The 18,672-nt window shown below is 43.4% G+C and overlaps 1 protein-coding gene across 1 annotated transcript in view, besides 6 other annotated features; it reads right to left on the minus strand.

Annotated features, from left to right (window-relative positions):
- The window catches only part of USP34 (ubiquitin specific peptidase 34), a 283,625-nt gene that overhangs the window by 260,709 nt on the left and 4,244 nt on the right, over positions 1 to 18,672 (minus strand). The gene's annotated exons all lie outside the window — the stretch shown is intronic.
- Positions 2,106 to 2,205: a silencer, noted in NCBI's record as "silent region_11526". NCBI's record gives its function as "represses an Ori minimal core promoter by ATAC-STARR-seq in GM12878 lymphoblastoid cells {active_cell/tissue: GM12878}" and the evidence as "EXISTENCE:reporter gene assay evidence [ECO:0000049][PMID:35858748]".
- Positions 11,009 to 11,209: a silencer, noted in NCBI's record as "peak3715 fragment used in MPRA reporter construct". NCBI's record gives its function as "represses an SCP1 promoter by STARR-seq MPRAs in K562 erythroleukemia cells {active_cell/tissue: K562}" and the evidence as "EXISTENCE:reporter gene assay evidence [ECO:0000049][PMID:32103011]".
- Positions 12,023 to 12,317: a silencer, noted in NCBI's record as "tiled region #6736; HepG2 Repressive DNase unmatched - State 5:Enh". NCBI's record gives its function as "represses a minimal TATA promoter and a strong SV40 promoter by Sharpr-MPRA in HepG2 cells {active_cell/tissue: HepG2}" and the evidence as "EXISTENCE:reporter gene assay evidence [ECO:0000049][PMID:27701403]".
- Positions 16,022 to 16,241: an enhancer, noted in NCBI's record as "active region_15830". NCBI's record gives its function as "activates an Ori minimal core promoter by ATAC-STARR-seq in GM12878 lymphoblastoid cells {active_cell/tissue: GM12878}" and the evidence as "EXISTENCE:reporter gene assay evidence [ECO:0000049][PMID:35858748]".
- Positions 17,126 to 17,646: an enhancer, noted in NCBI's record as "H3K4me1 hESC enhancer chr2:61692432-61692952 (GRCh37/hg19 assembly coordinates)". NCBI's record gives its function as "activates a minimal SCP1, AML or CMV promoter by ChIP-STARR-seq in naive H9 embryonic stem cells {active_cell/tissue: H9 hESC(naive)}" and the evidence as "EXISTENCE:reporter gene assay evidence [ECO:0000049][PMID:30033119]".
- Positions 17,647 to 18,166: an enhancer, noted in NCBI's record as "H3K4me1 hESC enhancer chr2:61692953-61693472 (GRCh37/hg19 assembly coordinates)". NCBI's record gives its function as "activates a minimal SCP1, AML or CMV promoter by ChIP-STARR-seq in naive H9 embryonic stem cells {active_cell/tissue: H9 hESC(naive)}" and the evidence as "EXISTENCE:reporter gene assay evidence [ECO:0000049][PMID:30033119]".

An 18,672-nucleotide genomic window follows, 5' to 3' on the forward strand; every position in this document is an offset into this window, starting at 1 on the left:
CACAATGAAAAACACAAACTGGCCAGGCATGAATGCCCATGTCTATAATCCCAGTACTTTGGGCGGCCAAGGCAGGAGGACTGCTTCAGGCCAGGAGTTCAAGACCAGACTGGGCAACACAGTGAGATCTGTCTCTACAAAAATAAAAAAATTTAGCCTGGTGTGGTGGCACATGCCTGCAGTCCCAGGAGGATCACCTTAGCTGAGGGGTTCAAGTCTGTAGTAAGCTGATAATAGCACCACACTCTGGCCCAGGAAACAGAGTGAGTGAGGCCCTGTCTCAAGGACGGGGAAAAAAAATGCAAAGAATATCTTATCTTGACAACTCTTTGACAGGCTCTCTGGGACCTCCATGGTTGACAGATCATACTTTGATAACCACTGATCAAGCCAAATGAAGATATATTTTTAATAATGAGTATATGAAGTAAAAGTCATCCCAAATGGAAAGAATAAAGAAACTGTTTCCATCCATAGATGACATACATAAAAAAGTCCTAAGGGATCCACTAAACAATTTACAAATGAGTTCAAGGTTGCAGGATACAAGATCAAGGTACCAAATCAACCATATTTCTATATATTAGCAATGAACAATTCAGATGTAAAATCTAGAAAAACAATTTTACAATAGCATCAGAAAGAATAAGATTCTTATTCTTTGCCCAAAATGTATTGAATAACAAAAAGTGCAGGCCAGAGGCCGGATACAGTGGCTCATGCCTGTAATCTCAGCACTCTGGGAGGCCAAGGCAGGTGGATCACCTGAGGTTGGGAGTTCGAGACCAGCCTGGCCAACATGGAAAAACCTGTCTCTACTAAAAATATAAAAATTAGCAAGGTGTGGTGGCGCATGCCTGTAATCATCCCAGCTACTCTGGAGGCTGAGGCAGGAGAACTGCTTGAACCTGGGAGGTGGATGTTGCGGTGAGCCAAGATCGTGCCACTGCACTCCAGCCTGGGCAACAGGAAGGAGGGAATGGAGGGACGGGAGGGACAGGAGGGACAAGAGGAGCGCTCGAACCTGGAAGGCAGAAGTCATGCCACTGTACTGCAGCCTGGATGACAGTGAGACTCCCTCTTAAAAAAAAAAAAAAAAGTAGGAAACTACAAAATATTGTTTAAAGCATTATAGACAACCTAAATAAATAGAAAGATATCCCATGTTCATGGATCAGGAGACTTAATATTGTTAAGATAGTAATAATCCTCAACTTGATACACAGATTCACTACAATCTCTACCAGAATTCCAGCTGGCATCTTTGTAGAAGTTTTCAAGTTGATCCTAAAACTCAGAAGGAAACTCAAGGGACCCTGAAGAGCCAACATAATTTTGAAAAAAAAAACAAAAACAAAAAAAAAACAAAGATTTACACTTTCTGACTTCCAATCTTATTACAAAGCCACAGCAATCAAGACAGTGTAGTACTGGCGTAAGGATAGACATACAGATCAATGAAACAGAATACAGAGTACAGAAAAAAACCCTATATATGTACAGGCAAATGACTTTCAAACAAGGATGCCAAGACCATGCAACAGAAAGAATAGATTTTTCTAAAAATGAAGCTTGGACAACTGAACAGCCTCATGCAAAAGAATGAAGTTGTATCAGCCGGCGCGGTGGCTCACGCCTGTAATCCCAGCACTTTGGGAGGCTGAGGTGGGTGGATCACGAAGTCAGGAGTGCGAGACCAGCCTGGCCAATATGGTGAAACCCCGTCTCTACTAAAAATACAAAAATAAGCTGGGCATGGTGGCGCACGCCTGTAGTCCCAGCTACTCGGGAGGCTGAGGCTGGAGAATCACTTGAACCCAGGAGGCAGAGCCTGCAGTGAACAAAGTTCATGCCACTGCACTCCAGCCTGGGCAACAAACCAAGACTCTGTCTCAAAAAATAAAAATAAAAATACAAAAAGTCTTAAACAAAAAAAAAGGACTGAAGTACTGGCATATGCTACAACATGGACAAAACTGGAAAGCATTATGCTAAGTGAAAGTAGGCAGTCACAAAAAAAACAAATATTAGTATTCCATATACACGAAAGGTTCAGAATAGGCAAATATATTAAGAATGCATATTGGTTGTTGCTTCGTGCTACTGAAATGGGAAGTAGCTTAGGGTGACTGATTGCTAAAAGGTAGGGGAATCCTATTGAGGTGATAAAGTGTTCTAGACTTGTTTGTGGTGATGGTTGCACAACTCTGAATCAGTCGGGTGCCAGTAAGGTATGTGAATTTATTAGATTGGTACAAAAGTAATTGTGGTTTACAAGTGGCAAAACCCCAATTATTTTCGCACCAACCCAATAGTTCACTATAGCTGTTAAAAAAATTATAAAGTATGGGAGGCTGAGGTAGGGAGATCACTTGAGGGCAGGAGTTTGAGACCAGCCCGGCCAACATGGTGAAATCCTGTCTCTACTAAAAATACCAAATAAATAATAAAGTAAAATAAATGATAAAGATGTGCAAATATACCATTTTAATTGGGAACAACAAACAAAAATATCCAGGAGTACATGTAAAAAGAAATACGCAGAACCTACATAAAGGGGAAAAATATAAAACGTCAAAAAGAAACAAAAATTATGTAAAAATGGGAAGATACATTATTTCCTTTCGGGAAAGACACCGTAAGATGTCAACTCTTACCCCACTTATAAACATAATCCAATTTCAATAAAAATTCCAATAGAAACGGAGGAGATGCAAAAAAAAAAAAAAAGGATTCTAAAGTTTCATCTTAACAAATGAGTAACTTGGCCAGGCACGGTGGCTCACACCTGTAATCCCAGCACTTTGGGAGGCCAAGGCAGGCGGATCACGAGGTCAAGAGTTCAAGACCAGCCTGGTCAACATGGTGAAACCCCATCTCTACTAAAAATGTAAAAAAAATTGGCTGGGCATGGTGGTAGGCGCCTATAATTCCAGCTACTCGGGACGCTGAGACAGGAGAATCACTTGAACCCGAGAGGTGGAAGTTGCAGTGAGCCGAGATCATGCCACTGCACTCCAGCCCAGGTGACAGTGTGAGGCTTCATCTCAAAAAAAAAAAAAAAAAAAAAAAAAGAAATGAATAACTTTTCACAACCTATTTGGTTTAACGGCACCAGGCACAAAGATAAATTATAAAGTGACTAAATTAAAACTAGATGATGAAATAATAAACAGCTTAAAAATAGGCCTCCAAGAATATACTCATAAATTCTGTACAAGACAGACATGGTGCTGGGTGCGGTGGCTCACGCCTGTAATCCCAGCACTTCGGGAGGCCAAGGTGGGCGGATCATCTGAGGTTGGCAGCTCACGACCAGCCTGACCAAGAGAGAAACCCCGTCTCTACTAAAAATGCAAACTTAACCGGGCATGGTGGCACATGCCTGCAATCCCAGCTACTCGGAAGGTTGAGGCAGGAGAATCGTTTCAACCTGGGAGACGGAGGTTGTGGTGAGCCAAGATCATGCCATTGCACTCCAACCTGGGCAACAAGAGCGAAACCCCGCCTCAAAAAAAAAAACAAAAAAACAAAAAACCAGACAGACCTGGCATTTCAAATCAATGGAAAAGAGAGAAATTCAAATTTGCTAAAATCACTAAGTCATTGTTCAGAAAAATTAATGTTAGATCCTACTTCATACTTGATACCAAAATAAATTCCAGATGAATAAAAAATTAAATTTAACAAATCCATAAAAGCTAGAAAAAGACTTAATTGAAAGCCGGGCGCAGTGGCTCACGCCTGGAATCCCAGCACTTTGGGAGGCTGAGGCGGGCGGATCACGAGGTCAGGAGATCGAGACCATCCTGGCTAACACGGTGAAACCCGTCTCTACTAAAAATACAAAAAATTAGCCGGGCGTGGTGGCGGGCGCCTGTAGTCCCAGCTACTCGGGAGGCTGAGGCAGGAGAATGGTGTGAACCCAGGAGGCGGAGCTTGCAGTGAGCCGAGATCATGCCACTGCACTCCAGCCTGGGCGACAGAGCGAGACTCCGTCTCAAAAAAAAAAAAAAAGAAAGAAAAAGACTTAATTGAGTATCTAATCTTGAGTGGGAATGACCTTTCTAAATAACAAAAGACTACTTGCCATTAAAACTCAAGAACCATGCCAAGTGAAGTGGCTCGTGCCTATAATTCCCGGCACTTTTTTTTTTTTTTTTTTTTTTTTGAGACAGAGTCTCACTCTGTCACCCAGGCTAGAGTGTAGTGGCGCGATCTCAGCTCATTGCAACCTCGACCTCCGGGGTTCAAGAGATTCTCGTGCCTCAGCCTCCCAAGTGGCTGGGATTATAGGCATGCATCACCACACCCTACTAATTTTTGTATTTTGGGTAGAGACAGGGTTTCACCATGTTGGTCAGGCTGGTCTCCTGACCTCAGGTGGTGATCCACCCGCCTCAGCCTCCCGCCAAAGTGCTGGCATTACAGGCGTCAGCCACCGTGCTGGCCTGTAATCCCCAGCACTTTGGAAGGCCAAGACAGGAGGGTTACTTGAAACCAGGAGTTCGAGACCCACCTGGGAAACACAAAGAGGCCCTGTCTCCACCAAAAAAAAAAACAAAAGTTAAGAATTAGCTGGGCTTGCCAGCACACACCTGCAGTCAGGAGGCTGACATAAGAGGATCGCTTGAGCCTCAGAGGTCAAGGCTGCAGTCAGTCTTGATCACGCCACTCACTACACTCCAGCCCTTAGAGACAGACCAAGACACTATGATGACCCACCCCACAACCAAAAAAAAAAAAAAAAAAAAAACACCCACAACTTTGCAGGAACAAATATAGTAGTTTAAGACATCCTATCATGTTAGGACACCCTATCATACAGATTCTTAAAAATAGAATATCTAATATTTTTAAAAAAAAAGGCACTCTCATATAAAGCTTTTAGGCAATAAATTAATACAACCTTTCTAGAAGGTAACTGAAAATCAGAACCCTTAAATAATTACATCTAGGCTGGGCACTGTGGCTCATGCCTATAATCCCAGCACTTAGGGAGGCCGAAGCGGGTGGATTGCTAGAGCCCATGAGTTCGAGACCAGCCTGGGCAACATGGTGAAACCCCATCTGTACTAAAAATACCAAAAACATTAGCCAAGTGTGGTGGCCTGCGCCTATAATCCCAGCTACTCAGGAGGCTAAGATGGGAGGACTGCTTAAGCCTGGAAAGTAGCGTTTGCAGTGAGCCATGGTCACGCCACTGTACTCCAGCATAGACGACAGAGTAAGACCCTGTCTCAAAAAAAGAAAACAAGCCAGGTGCAGTGGCTTGTGCCTGTAATCCCAGCACTTTGGGAGGCCCAGGAGGGTGAATCACTTGAGGTCAGGAGTTCAAGACCAGCCTCGCCAATATGGTGAAACCCCATCTCTACTAAAAATACAAAAATTAGCCAGGCATGGTGGTGCGTGCCTGTAATCCCAGCTACTCAGGAGGCTGAGGCAGGAGAATCACTTGAACCAAGGAGGCGCAGGTTGCACTGAGCCAAGATTCCACCACACCACTGCACTCCAGCCCAAGCAACAGAGTGACATTCCATCTCAAAAAAAAAAAAAAAAAAAAAGGAAGAAGAAAAAAACCAAAAAACACCAAATTTACATCTTGACCTGGGACATGACCCAGATTTCTATGCTTAAAAATATTTTCATATTTTTTTAAACAGGAAAACATTAGTTAAATATGTGTCACATTCAAAAGACTAAAAGTAGGCTGCCATTAAATTCTGTTCTCAGATACTTGTATTTTGGGTAGAAACAGGGTTTCATCATGTTCGCTCATGTTTTTTATGAGCATTTTATAAGAAAATGCTCATAAAAAACAGTAGGTAAGTATAAACTCAGTTTATACATATTCACAGAAGACAGCTAGATTTATATAAACCAAAATTTTAACAATCACAAGGTTTGTATTTCTTCAGTATTTTCTACAGATTTCTACAGTGATTAAATTATAGGCAGGAAAAGAGAGGGTTTGGGGTTTTTCGAGAAGGAGTCTCCCTCTGTCACCCAGGGGTGTGATCTCAGCTACCTGCAACCTCCACCTCCCAGGTTCAAGTGATTCTCCTGCCTCTGCCTCCCAAGTAGCTGGGGATTACAGGCGTGTGCCATCATGCTCAGCTAGGTTTTGTTTTTAGTAGAGATAGGGTTTTACCATGTTGGCCAGGCTGGTATTGAACTCCTGACCTCAAGTGATCCACCTGCCTTGGCCTCCCAAAGTGCTGGGATTACAGGCATGAGCCACTGCGCCCAGCCAGTTTTTTGTTTGTTGTTTTGTTTTTGTTTTTGTTTTTCCCAAAGGGAAAGCACTGGATCCATGGAGTTATAGAGAAAACTTCTCTGTGTACTTTCATAAACAACAGGTCCCTGGTGACTGTGTCAATATAGTGTTCTTGTTTTGAGATGGAGTCTCCCTCTGTCGCCCAGACTACAGTGAAGTGACACAACCTCTACTCACTTCAACCTCCGCCTCCCAAGTTCAAGTGATTCTCCTGCCTCAGCCTCCCGAGTAGCCAAGATTACAGGGGCCCACCACCACACCCAGCTTATTTTTTTATTTTTAGTAGACATGGGTTTCACCATGTTGACCAGGCTGGTCTCGAACTCCTGACCTCACGTGATCCGCCCGCCTAGGCCTCCCAAAGTGCTGGGATTATAGGCATAGCCGCCACACCCAGCAAATATAGTGGGGTTTTTTTTTTCTTTTTTTTTTTTTTTGGTTGTTTATTTGAGATGAGTCTCACTAGTCGCCCAGACTGGATGGAGTGCAGTGGTGCCATCTTGGCTCACTGCAACCTCCACCTCCCAAGTTGAAGCGATTCTCCCGCCTCAGCCTGGCAAGCAGCTGGGATTACAGGCACACGCCACAATGCTAAGCTAATTTTTGTATTTTTAGTAGGGACAGGGTTTCACCATGTTGGCCAGTCTGGTATTGAACTCCTGACCTGTGGTGATATGCCTACCTTGGCCTCCCAAAATGCTGGGATTACAGGTGTGGGCCGCCACACCCCAGCCTTTTGTTTGTTTTTGAGACAGAGTCTCCGTCTGTCACCCAACCTGGAGTGCAGTGGTACGATCTCAGCTCACTGCAACCTCCGCCTCCCGGGTTCAAGCAATTCTCATGCCTCAGCCTCCTGGGTAGCTAGGATTATAGATGTGTGCCACCATGCCCAACTAGTTTTTGTATTATAATAGAGACAGAATTTCACCATGTTGCCCAGGCTGGTCTCGAACTCCTGAGCTCAGGCAATCCACCAGCCTTGGCCTCCCAAAGTGCTAGGATTACAGGGTTTTTTTGTTTTTGTTTTTCAATCACTCAAAGATAGCCAGGTGCAGTGGTGTGTGCCTGTAATCCCAGGTAACATGAATCTGAGTCAGGAGGATCATTTGAGCCTGGAAGTTCAAGACCAGCCCAGGCAGCATACCAAGACCCCCATCTCAAAAACTTATATGCATATATACCACGTAGACCAACTTAAATTATATCAAGTCCACAAAGTTTTCTCCCATCATCCCAAAACTAAACTCCTCCCACTGCACTTCAACTAAAACTATTTCACAAAATTTACCATTTTTATTTTTCATGCTGTTGTTTTGCATATTTCTTATGCTAGCACTGCGTTAAATGTTGATATGCATTATCTTATTCACTCCTCACAAAATCCCTATGAGACATGTATTAAGAATATCCTCATCTCCAAATAAGAAACAAGGCATTAAGAGGTAAGGGAACTTAGCCAAAGTCAGAGACTTAATAAATGACAGGAGCAAGATTTGAACTCAGGTCTACCAGGTTCCAAAGATCACTCACTCAAGTATCATCCTACTGCCTCATCTGTACTCTGGAACCTTCCTTAAGAGAAAATACACAGCTAAATGTATTTCTATACCTACCAGCATACAGGAGAATGCTTTACACAAGTGTTTATGTTTTTAAAAAAACAAATATTTAAACAGAGTTAAGGTGAAACACAACTCAGTAAATACAATATTAAGAAATGGTTTTCAGTGTATTAGATATCCGTGGGCTTACTGCCCAGAAGCAATTTCACCTCTTTCATGGTAACAACGTGCCAGATTTCTTTTCCAGAAGCACACTCTTAGTTATGAGATTTGGGTGAGATCAGCTTCAAGAATAGGTCCTGATTAGTTTAAACCAATCAAAGTCCATCCTCTTTGAACTCTATTTCAGGAACAGAGTCAATAATATATGAAATGACATTTGTCAGGAAGGTTTTGGAAAAAGCAGCCTTCTTGTTCTTGTACAGTAAGTTCCAGAAAAGATTCACTCTTTTTCTCCGCATAGTTTAAGTACGTGATGTCCAAACACTGTGGTATGAAGATGTGGTATAAAAATGGTGCAGTAGTGCTGGGCACAGTGGCTCACACTTGCAATCCCAGCACTTTAGGAAGCCAAAGTAGGGAGATCACTTGAGCCCAGGAGTTGGAGACCAGCCTGGGAAACATGGTGAAACCCCATCTCTACTAAAAATAAAAAAAAATGGCCAGGCATGGTGGTTCACGCCTATAATCCCAACATTTTGGGAGGCTGAGGCAGGAGGATAGTTTGAGCCCAGGAGTTCACGACCAGCCTGGGCAACACAGTGGGACCCCATCTCAATTTACTAACAGAGTAAAAATAAAAAACACCAAAACGAAAATTAGCTGGGTGTGGTGGCACAGGCATGTAGTCCCAGCTACTATGGAAGCTGAGGCAGGAGGATAGCTTGGCCCACCTGGGACGTTGAGGCTGCAGTTAGCCATGACTGAGCCACTGTACTCCAGCCTGGGCAACAGAGCAAGACTCTGTCTGAAAAAACTAAACAGACCAGTGGTGACTGCTCACACCTGTAACCCCAGCACTTTAAGAGGCTGGAACAGAAGGATGGTTTGAGCCCAGGAGTTCAAGACCAGCCTGGGTAACATGGTGAAACCCTGCCTCTACAAAAATTACAAAAATTAGCCAGGTGTGATGGCACAGGCTTATAGTCCCAGCTACTCAGGTGGCTGAGGTGGGAGGATCTCTTGAGCCTGGGAGGTCAAGACTACAGTGAGCCGTGATCGTGCCACTGCACTCTAGACTGGGCGACAGAGCAAGACCTGTCAAATAAATAAGGTGCAGTAGCCATTTCTGTTACCATAGGAAGGGCCAAACTGAGGTCAAAACCAAGGAAGCCCAGCAAGCCACAGAGAAATAAAGTCCTGATTATGTTATAAACCCAATGATTAAAAGTAAAGCACACCTGAATATACACCTAGACGGCCTACTTATAGCTTTTAAAGAAAAACTCTGTTTCTGCCAAAGAAACGGTTTTTTCTGGTCCTTGAGACAGAATCCTACCTAGTTTAAAAAGAATAATAATTCTCAACCTTAAATTTAACCCACAGGTACTAATATCACGAACTAGTAAAGTGTTGTGTGTGGTGCCTCACGCCTGTAATCCCAGCACTTTGGGAGGCTGAGGCGGGAGAATCACTTGAGGCCAGAAGTTCAAGAGCAGCTTGGGAAATATAGTGAAACCCATTCCCAAATAAATAAGCAAGCAAGTTGGGTGTCATCATGAGCACCTGTAGTCCCAGCTACTTGGGAGGCTCTTTTGAGCCCAGGAGGTCAAGGCTGCAGTGAGCTAGGATCATATCACTGTACTCCAGCCTGAGTGACAGAGTGAGACCCTGTCTCCAAAAACAAACAGCAGCAGCAACAACAAAAAGTACCATTTTATGAAGAGGGTGGCAAGCAAGACATCACAAAAGCAAGGACTGACAGTACTTGATATATCCGAGAAAACAGGAAACACCACATCTAGCCTACCCTTGTTTTCCCTTCTATTATCAACCCACAGTGATCTTACGATTTTTCAGATATTTTAAATAAACACTGATCCTACCACATGCAGGCACTGTAAAACAGTAGTAACAGTTGCAATCATAGAACTGATAGTCTCATAGAATAAAAAAATTACAGTTGTAAACATAGAAATACATAATTCTAAATTGTGGTAAATGCTATGAATAAAAAGAACCAGAGCTACTTCAGACTTGGAGTTCAGGAAAGACTTCTCGAAAAAAATCATTTCAGTCAAAACTTAAAAGCATAAGAAGGTATATACAGGCCAGGCACGGGGGTTCACACCTGTAATCCCAGCACTTTGGGAGGCAGAGGCAGGCAAATCACCTGAGGTCAGGAGTTCAAGAGAAGCCTGGCCAACATGGTGAAACCCTGTCTCTACTAAAAATACAAAAATTAGCCGGGCGTGGTGGCGGGTGCCTGTAATCCCAGCTACTCGGGAGGCTGAGGCAGGAGAATCATTTGAACCCAGGAAGCAGAGGTTGCAGTGAGCCAAGATCACACCATTGCACTCCAGCCTGGGCAACAAGAGTGAAACTGTCTCAGAAAAAAAAAAAAAAAGGTATGTATAAAGGCTCAGTGTCATCAATGAAAGAAGGCAAAAAGGAAAAAAAAAAAAAAAAAGGCAAAGAGAACAAGGGAATGAAGCTAGCAGAGGCTAAGTCATGCAGAGCCTTCACAAGTCAAGGTAGGCCATATTTCACTCCTCTCATTCCCAGCAACTATTTCAAACAGGGCCCACTTGAATCTTCCATCTTCCTTAAAATCTTGGCGGGGCACAGTGGCTCACGCCTGTAATCCCAGCACTTTGGGAGGCCAAGGCAGGTGGATGGTGAGGTCAGGAGTTCAAGACCAGCCTGGTCAACATGGTGAAACCCCATTCCTACTAAATTTACAAAAATGAGCCGGGCACAGTGGTGGGCGCCTACAATCCCAGCTACTTGGGAGGCTGAGGCAGGAGAATTGCTTGAACCCGGGAGGTGGAAGTTGCAGTGAGCCGAGACTGCGCCACTGCAATCCAACCTGGGTGACAAATCAAGACTCCATCTCGGGAAAAAATAAAAACAAATCTTGCCTAATCCACTTTAGCCCAAATAAATCTCTCCACAGTTCCTTTAATGGTTTCTTATGAGTTTCCCAACTTCCACAGTCAGGGTCCTCTTAAAAATTAAAAAATAAAAATAAAAAAAGATAGCTTGGTTAGTGAAAAGTACAGAGAAGAAATAAGCACAACTAAATTCTAGTCCTACCCCTGCTACTTCTTTGCTGTGTGACCTTAGACAAATCTTTCTATTTCTCATGACTCTTACAAAGGAAGTACCTTCAAGGAAAACACTGTATAAGAAATTTCAGTGTTCAAATAGCTACAGAAGTGTATTATCATCACTGTGTTAAATATAATTCATCATAGTATTCCAACTTCATAAGCATGACACCACCTCCTAAAATTTGGGCACAATTAAGATACTTGAAAACAGGCCAGGCACGGTGGCTCACACCCATAATCCTAGCAGTTTGGGAGGCCAAGACGGGCGGATCACTTCAGGTCAAGAGTTCGAAACCAGCCTGGCCAACACGGTGAAACCCCGTCTCTACTAAAAATACAAAAGAATTAGCCGAGCGTGGTGGCAGGCACCTGTAATCCCAGCTACTCAGGAGGCTGAGGCAGGAGAATCGCTTGAACCCGGGAGGCGAAGGCTGCAGTGAGCTGATATTAAGCCACTGCACTCCAGCCTGGGCTACAGAGCCAAAAAAAAAAAAAGGCCAGGCACAGTGACTCACACCTGTAATCGTAGCACTTTGGGAGGCCAAGGTGGGCAGATCACCTGAGGTCAGGAGATCAAGACCATCCTGATTAACACGGTAAAACCCCATCTCTACTAAAAATACAAAAAAATTAGCTGGACATGGTGGCGGACGCCTGTAGTCCCAGCCACTCGGGTGGCTGAGGGAGGAGAATGGCGTCAACCCAGGAAGCAGAACTTGCAGTGAGCCGAGATCGCACCACTGCACTCCAGCCTGAGCGACAGAGCAAGACTCCATCTCAGAAAAAAGATACTTGAAAACAGTTTTATGTTGGCTTTTTTTGAGCACCCACATATTACTTAGTTTCCAAGCTTATTAAGAAATTACAATAGTCTCCCTTATTATCTTTGGTTTTGCTTTCCATAGTTAACCACAGTCACTATGGTCCAAAAATATTAAATGGAAAATTCCAGAAATAAACAATTCATAAGTTTTAAATTGCCATTCCGAGTGGCATGATGAAATCTTGTGCCGTCCCGTCTAGGATGTGAATCATCCTTTTGTCCAGCATATCCAGGCTGCACATGCAACCTACCCATTAAGTCACTAAGTAGCTGTCCTGGTTATCAGATCCACTGTGGCACTACACAATGCTTGTATTCAAGTAACCCTTACTTTACCCAATAATGGCCCCAAAGTGCAAGAGCAGCGATACTAGTAATTCAGATATGCCAAAGAAAAGCTTATTTGAAGTGAAAAGGTGAAAGTTCTTAAAATAATGAGAAAAAAAACAGTATATAGGGTACAGCACTATCTGTGGTTTGAGGTATCCACTGGAAGTCTCAGAACACATTCCACTTGGATAAGGGGGGAATACTGTATACCCTTTTTCTCCTCAAAAGAAATCTTACATAGAATTTCGATTCATAAAACAGGTAGAAGGCCGGGTGTGGCAGCTCATGCCTGTAATCCCAGTACTTTGGGAGGCCGAGGCAAGTGGATCACGAGTTCAGGAGATCGAGACCATCCTGGCCAACATGGAGAAACTCTGTCTCTACTAAAAACATAAAAATTAGCTGGGCATAGTGACGCACGCCTGTAGTCCCAGGTACTCGAGAGGCTGAGGCAGGACAATCACTTGAACCTGGGAGGTGGAGGTCCAGGAAGCCAAGATCGCGCCACTGCACTCCACCCTGGCAACAGGGCGAGACTCCATCTCAAAAAAAAAAAAAGAAAAAAAAAACAGGTAAAGGTGAGCTTTTTGTTGTTGTTGTTATTTCATTCTTATTAATAAAACTTACAAGTTAGAAAAAAAGCGAGCTTTGAATTTTGAAAGAAGGTAAGAGGGGCCGGGCAGGGTGGCTCACAACTGTAATCTCAGCATTTTGGGAGGCTGAGGCAGGTGGATGACTTGAGCTCAGGAGTTCAAGACCAGCCTGGCCAACAGGATGAAACCCTGTCTCTACTAAAAATGCAAAAGAATTAGCCAGGCATGGTGGCAGGCCCCTGTAATCCCAGCTACTCGGGAGTCTGAGGCAGGAGAATCACTTGAACCTGGGAGGCAGAGGTTGCAGTGAGCCGAGATGGCACCATTGCACTCCACCCTAGTGAACAAGAGCGAAATTCCGCCTCAAAAAAATAAAAAAAAAAACCCAAAACACTGAAATCTGAAATACAGAAAAAAAAACATACAATTCATTAAATAACAAAAATATGAATGGTTAAATTTACTAGTAATTGCTTAATACATTCTCTACCAAAATAACTTTTATTTTAAGAGATGAAGTCTTGCTATGTTGCCCAGGCTAGCCTTGAATTCCAGGGCTCAAGTGATCCTCCCACCTCAGCCTCCTGAGTAGCTGGGAATACTACAGGCACACATCACCATGCCCTGCTAAAATAACACTTTCTAAAGGATAATATTCAAGACAGGTGAAAGTGCCCTTACACAGGCACGACTACGACTAAAAGATCAATATATCCTTTCTGGCAAGCAAACAGTATGAAAATAATGAAAAATGTTTATATTTTTTGACACAGTAAACTCACGTCTAGAAATCTAAAAGAACCAGGGATGTAGATAAAAGATTTAAGTAGAAAGATGTACATTTGCGGCATTATTCATAATATGGGAGAACTGGAAACAGATATATTAAATTTTATATAAAATGAAATCTTATACAAAAACATGTTTTCAGCCAGACGCGGTGGCTCACACCTGTAGTCACAGCATTTTAGGGGGCCGAGGTGGGCAGATCATGAGGTCAGGAGTTCAAGACCAGCCTGGCCAACATGGTGAAACCTCATCTCTACTAAACGTAACAAAAATTAGTCAGGCATGGTGGCAGTTGCCTGTAATCACAGCTACCCAGGAGGTTGAGGCAGGAAAATCGCTTGAACCCGGGAGGCGGAGGTTGCAGTGAGCCAAGATCAGGCCATCGCACTCCAGCCTGGGGCAACAGAACAAGACTCCATCTCAGGGGGAAAAAAAAAAAAAAGAAAATCAGCCAGGCGTGGTGGCTCATGCCTGTAATCCCAGCAGTTTGGGAGGCCGAGGTGGGTGAATCACTTGAGGCTAGGAGTTTGAGAACAGCCTGGGCAAAACAGTGAAGCCCCATTCCTACAAAAAACACAAATATTAGCTGGGCATGGTGGTACGCACCTGTAATCCCAGCTACTTGGGAAGCTGAGGCAGGAGAATTGCTTGAACCCAGGAAGAGGAGGTTGAAGTGAGCCAAGATCATGCCACTGCACTCCAGCCTGGGCCACAGAGTAAGACTCCGTCTCCAAAAAAAAAAAAAAAATCAATTCAGGAGAACCGGACAAAGTAGCTCACACCCTGTAATCCCAGCACTCTGGGAGGCTGAGGCAAGCGGATCACTTGAGGCCAGGAGTTTGAGACCAGCCTGACCAACATGGCGAAACCCCATCTCTACTAAATATACAAAAATTAGCCCGGCATGATGGCACATGCCTATAATCCCAGCTACTTGGGAGGGTGAGGCACAAGAACTGCTTGAGCCCCCCAAGGCAGAGGGTGCAGTGAGCCGAGACTGTACCAATGCACTCCAGCCTGGGAGACAGAGGGAAACTGTTTCCCAAAAAAAAAAAAAAAAAGGCAGCCAGGTGTGCTGGTATACACACCTATAGTCCCTGCTACTCAGGAGGGTGAGACAGGAAAATCACTTGAGCCCAGGAGGTCAAGTTATAGTAAGCAATAATCACTTCATTGCACTCCAGCCTGGATGACAGAATAAGACTCCATCTCCAAAGGGGGGAAAAAAATTCCAACTTTAGATTAAATGTCTACTGAAAAAGTTATGTTACTAATTGATTTCGTACCTATATACTCATAGTATCTAAAAAGCTCTGGAAACATGTAGTTTTATTAAACGGTTCACTGCAGAATAACAGTATTAAGAAAGATTCTCAGCCGGGTACAGCATACCCCAACACTTTGGGAGGCTGAGGCAGGAGCATCACTTGAGCCCAGGAGCTTGAGGCTGCAGTGAGCTATAATTGGGCCACTGCACCCCAGCATGGGTGATACACTGTCTCTTAAAAAATAATCAAAAATCAAAAAATTTGAAATTTTATTCAATGAAAAAGATTCTTATTCAGCTATACTTATTACCACTTTTGAATTCCTACTACAATTATCACAGAAATTTGTCTGAATTTTTGAAGATACATAAAACACGGTCAGTAATTTTCACTTTGCCAACTGAACAGTGGTGATTCAGATAGATCATCATAAAATTTATACAATGTTAACTAGTAAGAACTTTTAGGCCAGGCAGGATGGCTCACACCCCTAAACCCAACACTTTGGGAGGCCAAGGGAGGCGGATTACCTGGGGTCAGGAATTCAAGACCATCCTGGCCAACATGGTGAAACCCCACATCGACTAAAATTACAAAAATTAGCCAGGCATGGTGGTGCATGCCTGTAATCCCAGCTACTCAGGAGGCTGAGGCAGGAGAATCGCTTGAACCCAGGAGGCGGAGGTTGCAATGAGCCGAGATCATGCCATTGCACACCAGCCTGGGCAACAGGAACAAAATTCCTTTTCAAAAAAAAAAAAAACTCTTAGCCTAATCTGGGATTAAGTCCTGTGGTTCCACCAAACAGTCACATGTGACCCTAAGCAAGTCACATAAATTCTCTAAACCTTAGTTCCCTCATCTGAAAAGGATGACAGAGTACCTCCCTCAAAGAACTGATTAAATCAGCAGCATGCAAAGCATGTAAAGTACTTAAGTACCCAACACAAACTATTCAATAAAGTAATCTGCTTTAAAAATAAAACACACTGAAAGGCCGAGGCAGGTGGATCACCTGACATCATTAGTTCAAGACCAGTGTGGCCAAACTGGTGAAAATTAGTCTCGACTAAAAATACAAACATTAGCTGGGCGTGGTGGCAGGCGCCTCTAATTCCAGCTACTCAGGAGGATGAGGCAGGAGAATCACTTGAAGCAAGGAGGTGGAAGTTGCAGTGAGCTGAGATCGTGCCATTGCACTGCAGCCTGGGCAACAGAGTGAGACTCCGTCTCAAAAACACCACCACCAACAAAATAAACACAACAGAATTATTCTGCAAATACAGATATTGGAGTAGCTGAGTTCCATCTCAAATTTGACTATGCAGGTTGACAGGTGATCTTGGCAAACTACTTATCCTTTCTGAAGTTCAACTTTTTCACCAAATGGTATTGGGATACAACACTTGCTCTTGCCTATCTCACATGAATTATCCATTTTGGACAACTTGGTAAACTATAACCCACCAAACGAATACACAGAGTAAAATCTACAACACATAAGTGGTTTAAAACAATGACGTACACCAGGCGTGGTGGCTCACGCCTGTAGTCCCAGGAGGCGGAGGTTGCAGTGAGCCCAAGATCGCACCACTGCACTCCAGCCTGGGCGAAAGAGCGAGACTCCGTCTCAAAAAAAAAAAAAAAAAAAAAAAGAGGTACTATGTAATTTTCACTCTGCTTTCAGAGAAATTTACCTTACGAGGTAAATAACCTCAGTTTACTAGTGAGTTTGCTATGGTGATGGCCTAAAGCATGTAATTTTAAGCCTCCAACTCCTCACCAAGATCTAGAAATGCTTTGGCCTTTGTAAACTGGTTCACAAAAGTAACTACAAAAGCAGTTATCAGACAAACTCAACAGAACAAGCAGAGGAACAGAAATTTAAAATTTATCCTAAACAGAATGTAATCCCACAAAATGATAACAGCAAAATTTACTCAATACATCCAAGCTTTTTAAATGTTTTTAAAATGAAGCATGAAAAGAAAATGGCAAGTCCAGTATTTTAGTATTGTTGGGATTGGTTATTCTAACACTAAAGCCAAATATGATTTTGAAATGTAGTTTCAACTTTTATGATATGTGTCAAGATTATATTTAAAAAGGGTGGGTGTGGTGGGGCAAGGGTACTTATGATAGGATCCTTAGTCTGGTTCCAGGAACAAACTTCAACGGGTCCTCAACCTGTAAGCACAATTCTGTGTCTGTATGCCTCTGCATGTTTCCACAGTGAAAGTTTACAGCTTCAGATTCTCAGGACTAGAGGTATAACTAATAATATTAATACTCTCACCAAAAACTGATGACAAAACGAACTGTTCATAATCTGTTACTTTTAACGATACTGCATTCTGCCAAACTTTAAACATTCCACATTAAGTCCTTACTCTTATCAAAAAGTCTGTGCATATCTAATACAAAGCTATACTACCCACACTTGTGTCTACCCTTTCATTTAAAACACAATTAACTGGCCAGGCATGGTAGCTCATGCCTGTAATTCCAGTACTTGGGGAGGCTGAGGCAGGAGAATGGCTTCAGACCAGGAGTTTGAGACCAGCCTGGGCAACAATGCAAGGCCCTGTCTCTATTAATAAACAAAAACACGGCTAGGCACGGTGGCTCACGCCTGTAATGCCAGCACTTTGGGAGGCCGAGGCAGGTGGATCACGAGGTCAAGAGATCGAGACCATCCTGGCCAACATGGTGAAACCCCATCTCTACTAAATATACAAAAAATTAGCCGGGCGTGGTAGCGGGCGCCTGTAGTTCCAGCTCCTCGGGAAGCTGAGTCAGGAGAATGGCGTGAACCCGGGAGGCGGAGCTTGCAGTGAGCAGAGATGGCGCCACTGCACTCCAGCCTGGGTGACAGAACAAGACTCTGTCTCAAAAAAAAATAAAATAAAATAAACAAAAACACAACAAAATTTGCTGGGAATGGTAGAGGGAGGGGAGGGATAGGGAGAGATTTGTTAAAGAATATAAAATTACAGTGAGATAGAAGGAATAAGTACTACTACAGAATGACTACGGTTAACAATAATATATGATACAAGCCGGGCATGGTGGCTCATGCCTATAATCCCAGCACTTTGGGAGGCCAAGGCGGGCAGATCACTTGAGTTCAAGAGTTCAAGACCAGCCTGGCCAACGTGGTGAAACCCCATCTCTACTAAAAATACAAAAATTAGCCGGGCTTGGTGGCACATGCCTGTAGTCCCAGCTACTTGGGAGGATGTGGCAGGAGGATTGCTTAAGCCCAGGAAGCGGAGGCTGTAGTGACCCAAGAGCATACCACTGCACTCCAGCCTGGGCAATGGGAAAGAAACCCTATCTCAAAAAAACAATAATATATGATACAGTTTCAAATAGCTAGGAGGATACTGAATGTTCCCAAAGCAAATGCTAAATGTTTGAGATGGATATACTAATTAACTTCAACTGATCACTATACGTTTTATGTATTGAAACATCACTATGTACACCATGAATATGTAAAATTATTATTTATCAACTAAAAATTTTTTAAACAAAATTTTTAGGCCAGGCATGCTGGCTCACTCCTGTAATTGCAGCACTTTGGGAGGTACAGGCAGGCAGATCCCCTGAGGTCAGGAGTTTGAGACAAGCCTGGCCAACATGGCAAAATCCCACCTCTACTAAAAATACAAAAATTAGCCAGGCAAGGAGGCGGGTGCCTGTAGTCTCAGTTACTCAGGAGGCTGAGGCAGAAGAATCACTTGAATCCGGGAGGT

The sequence above is a fragment of the Homo sapiens genome, chromosome 2, assembly GCF_000001405.40.
Source record: "Homo sapiens chromosome 2, GRCh38.p14 Primary Assembly".
Classification (NCBI taxonomy): Eukaryota; Metazoa; Chordata; class Mammalia; order Primates; family Hominidae; genus Homo; species Homo sapiens.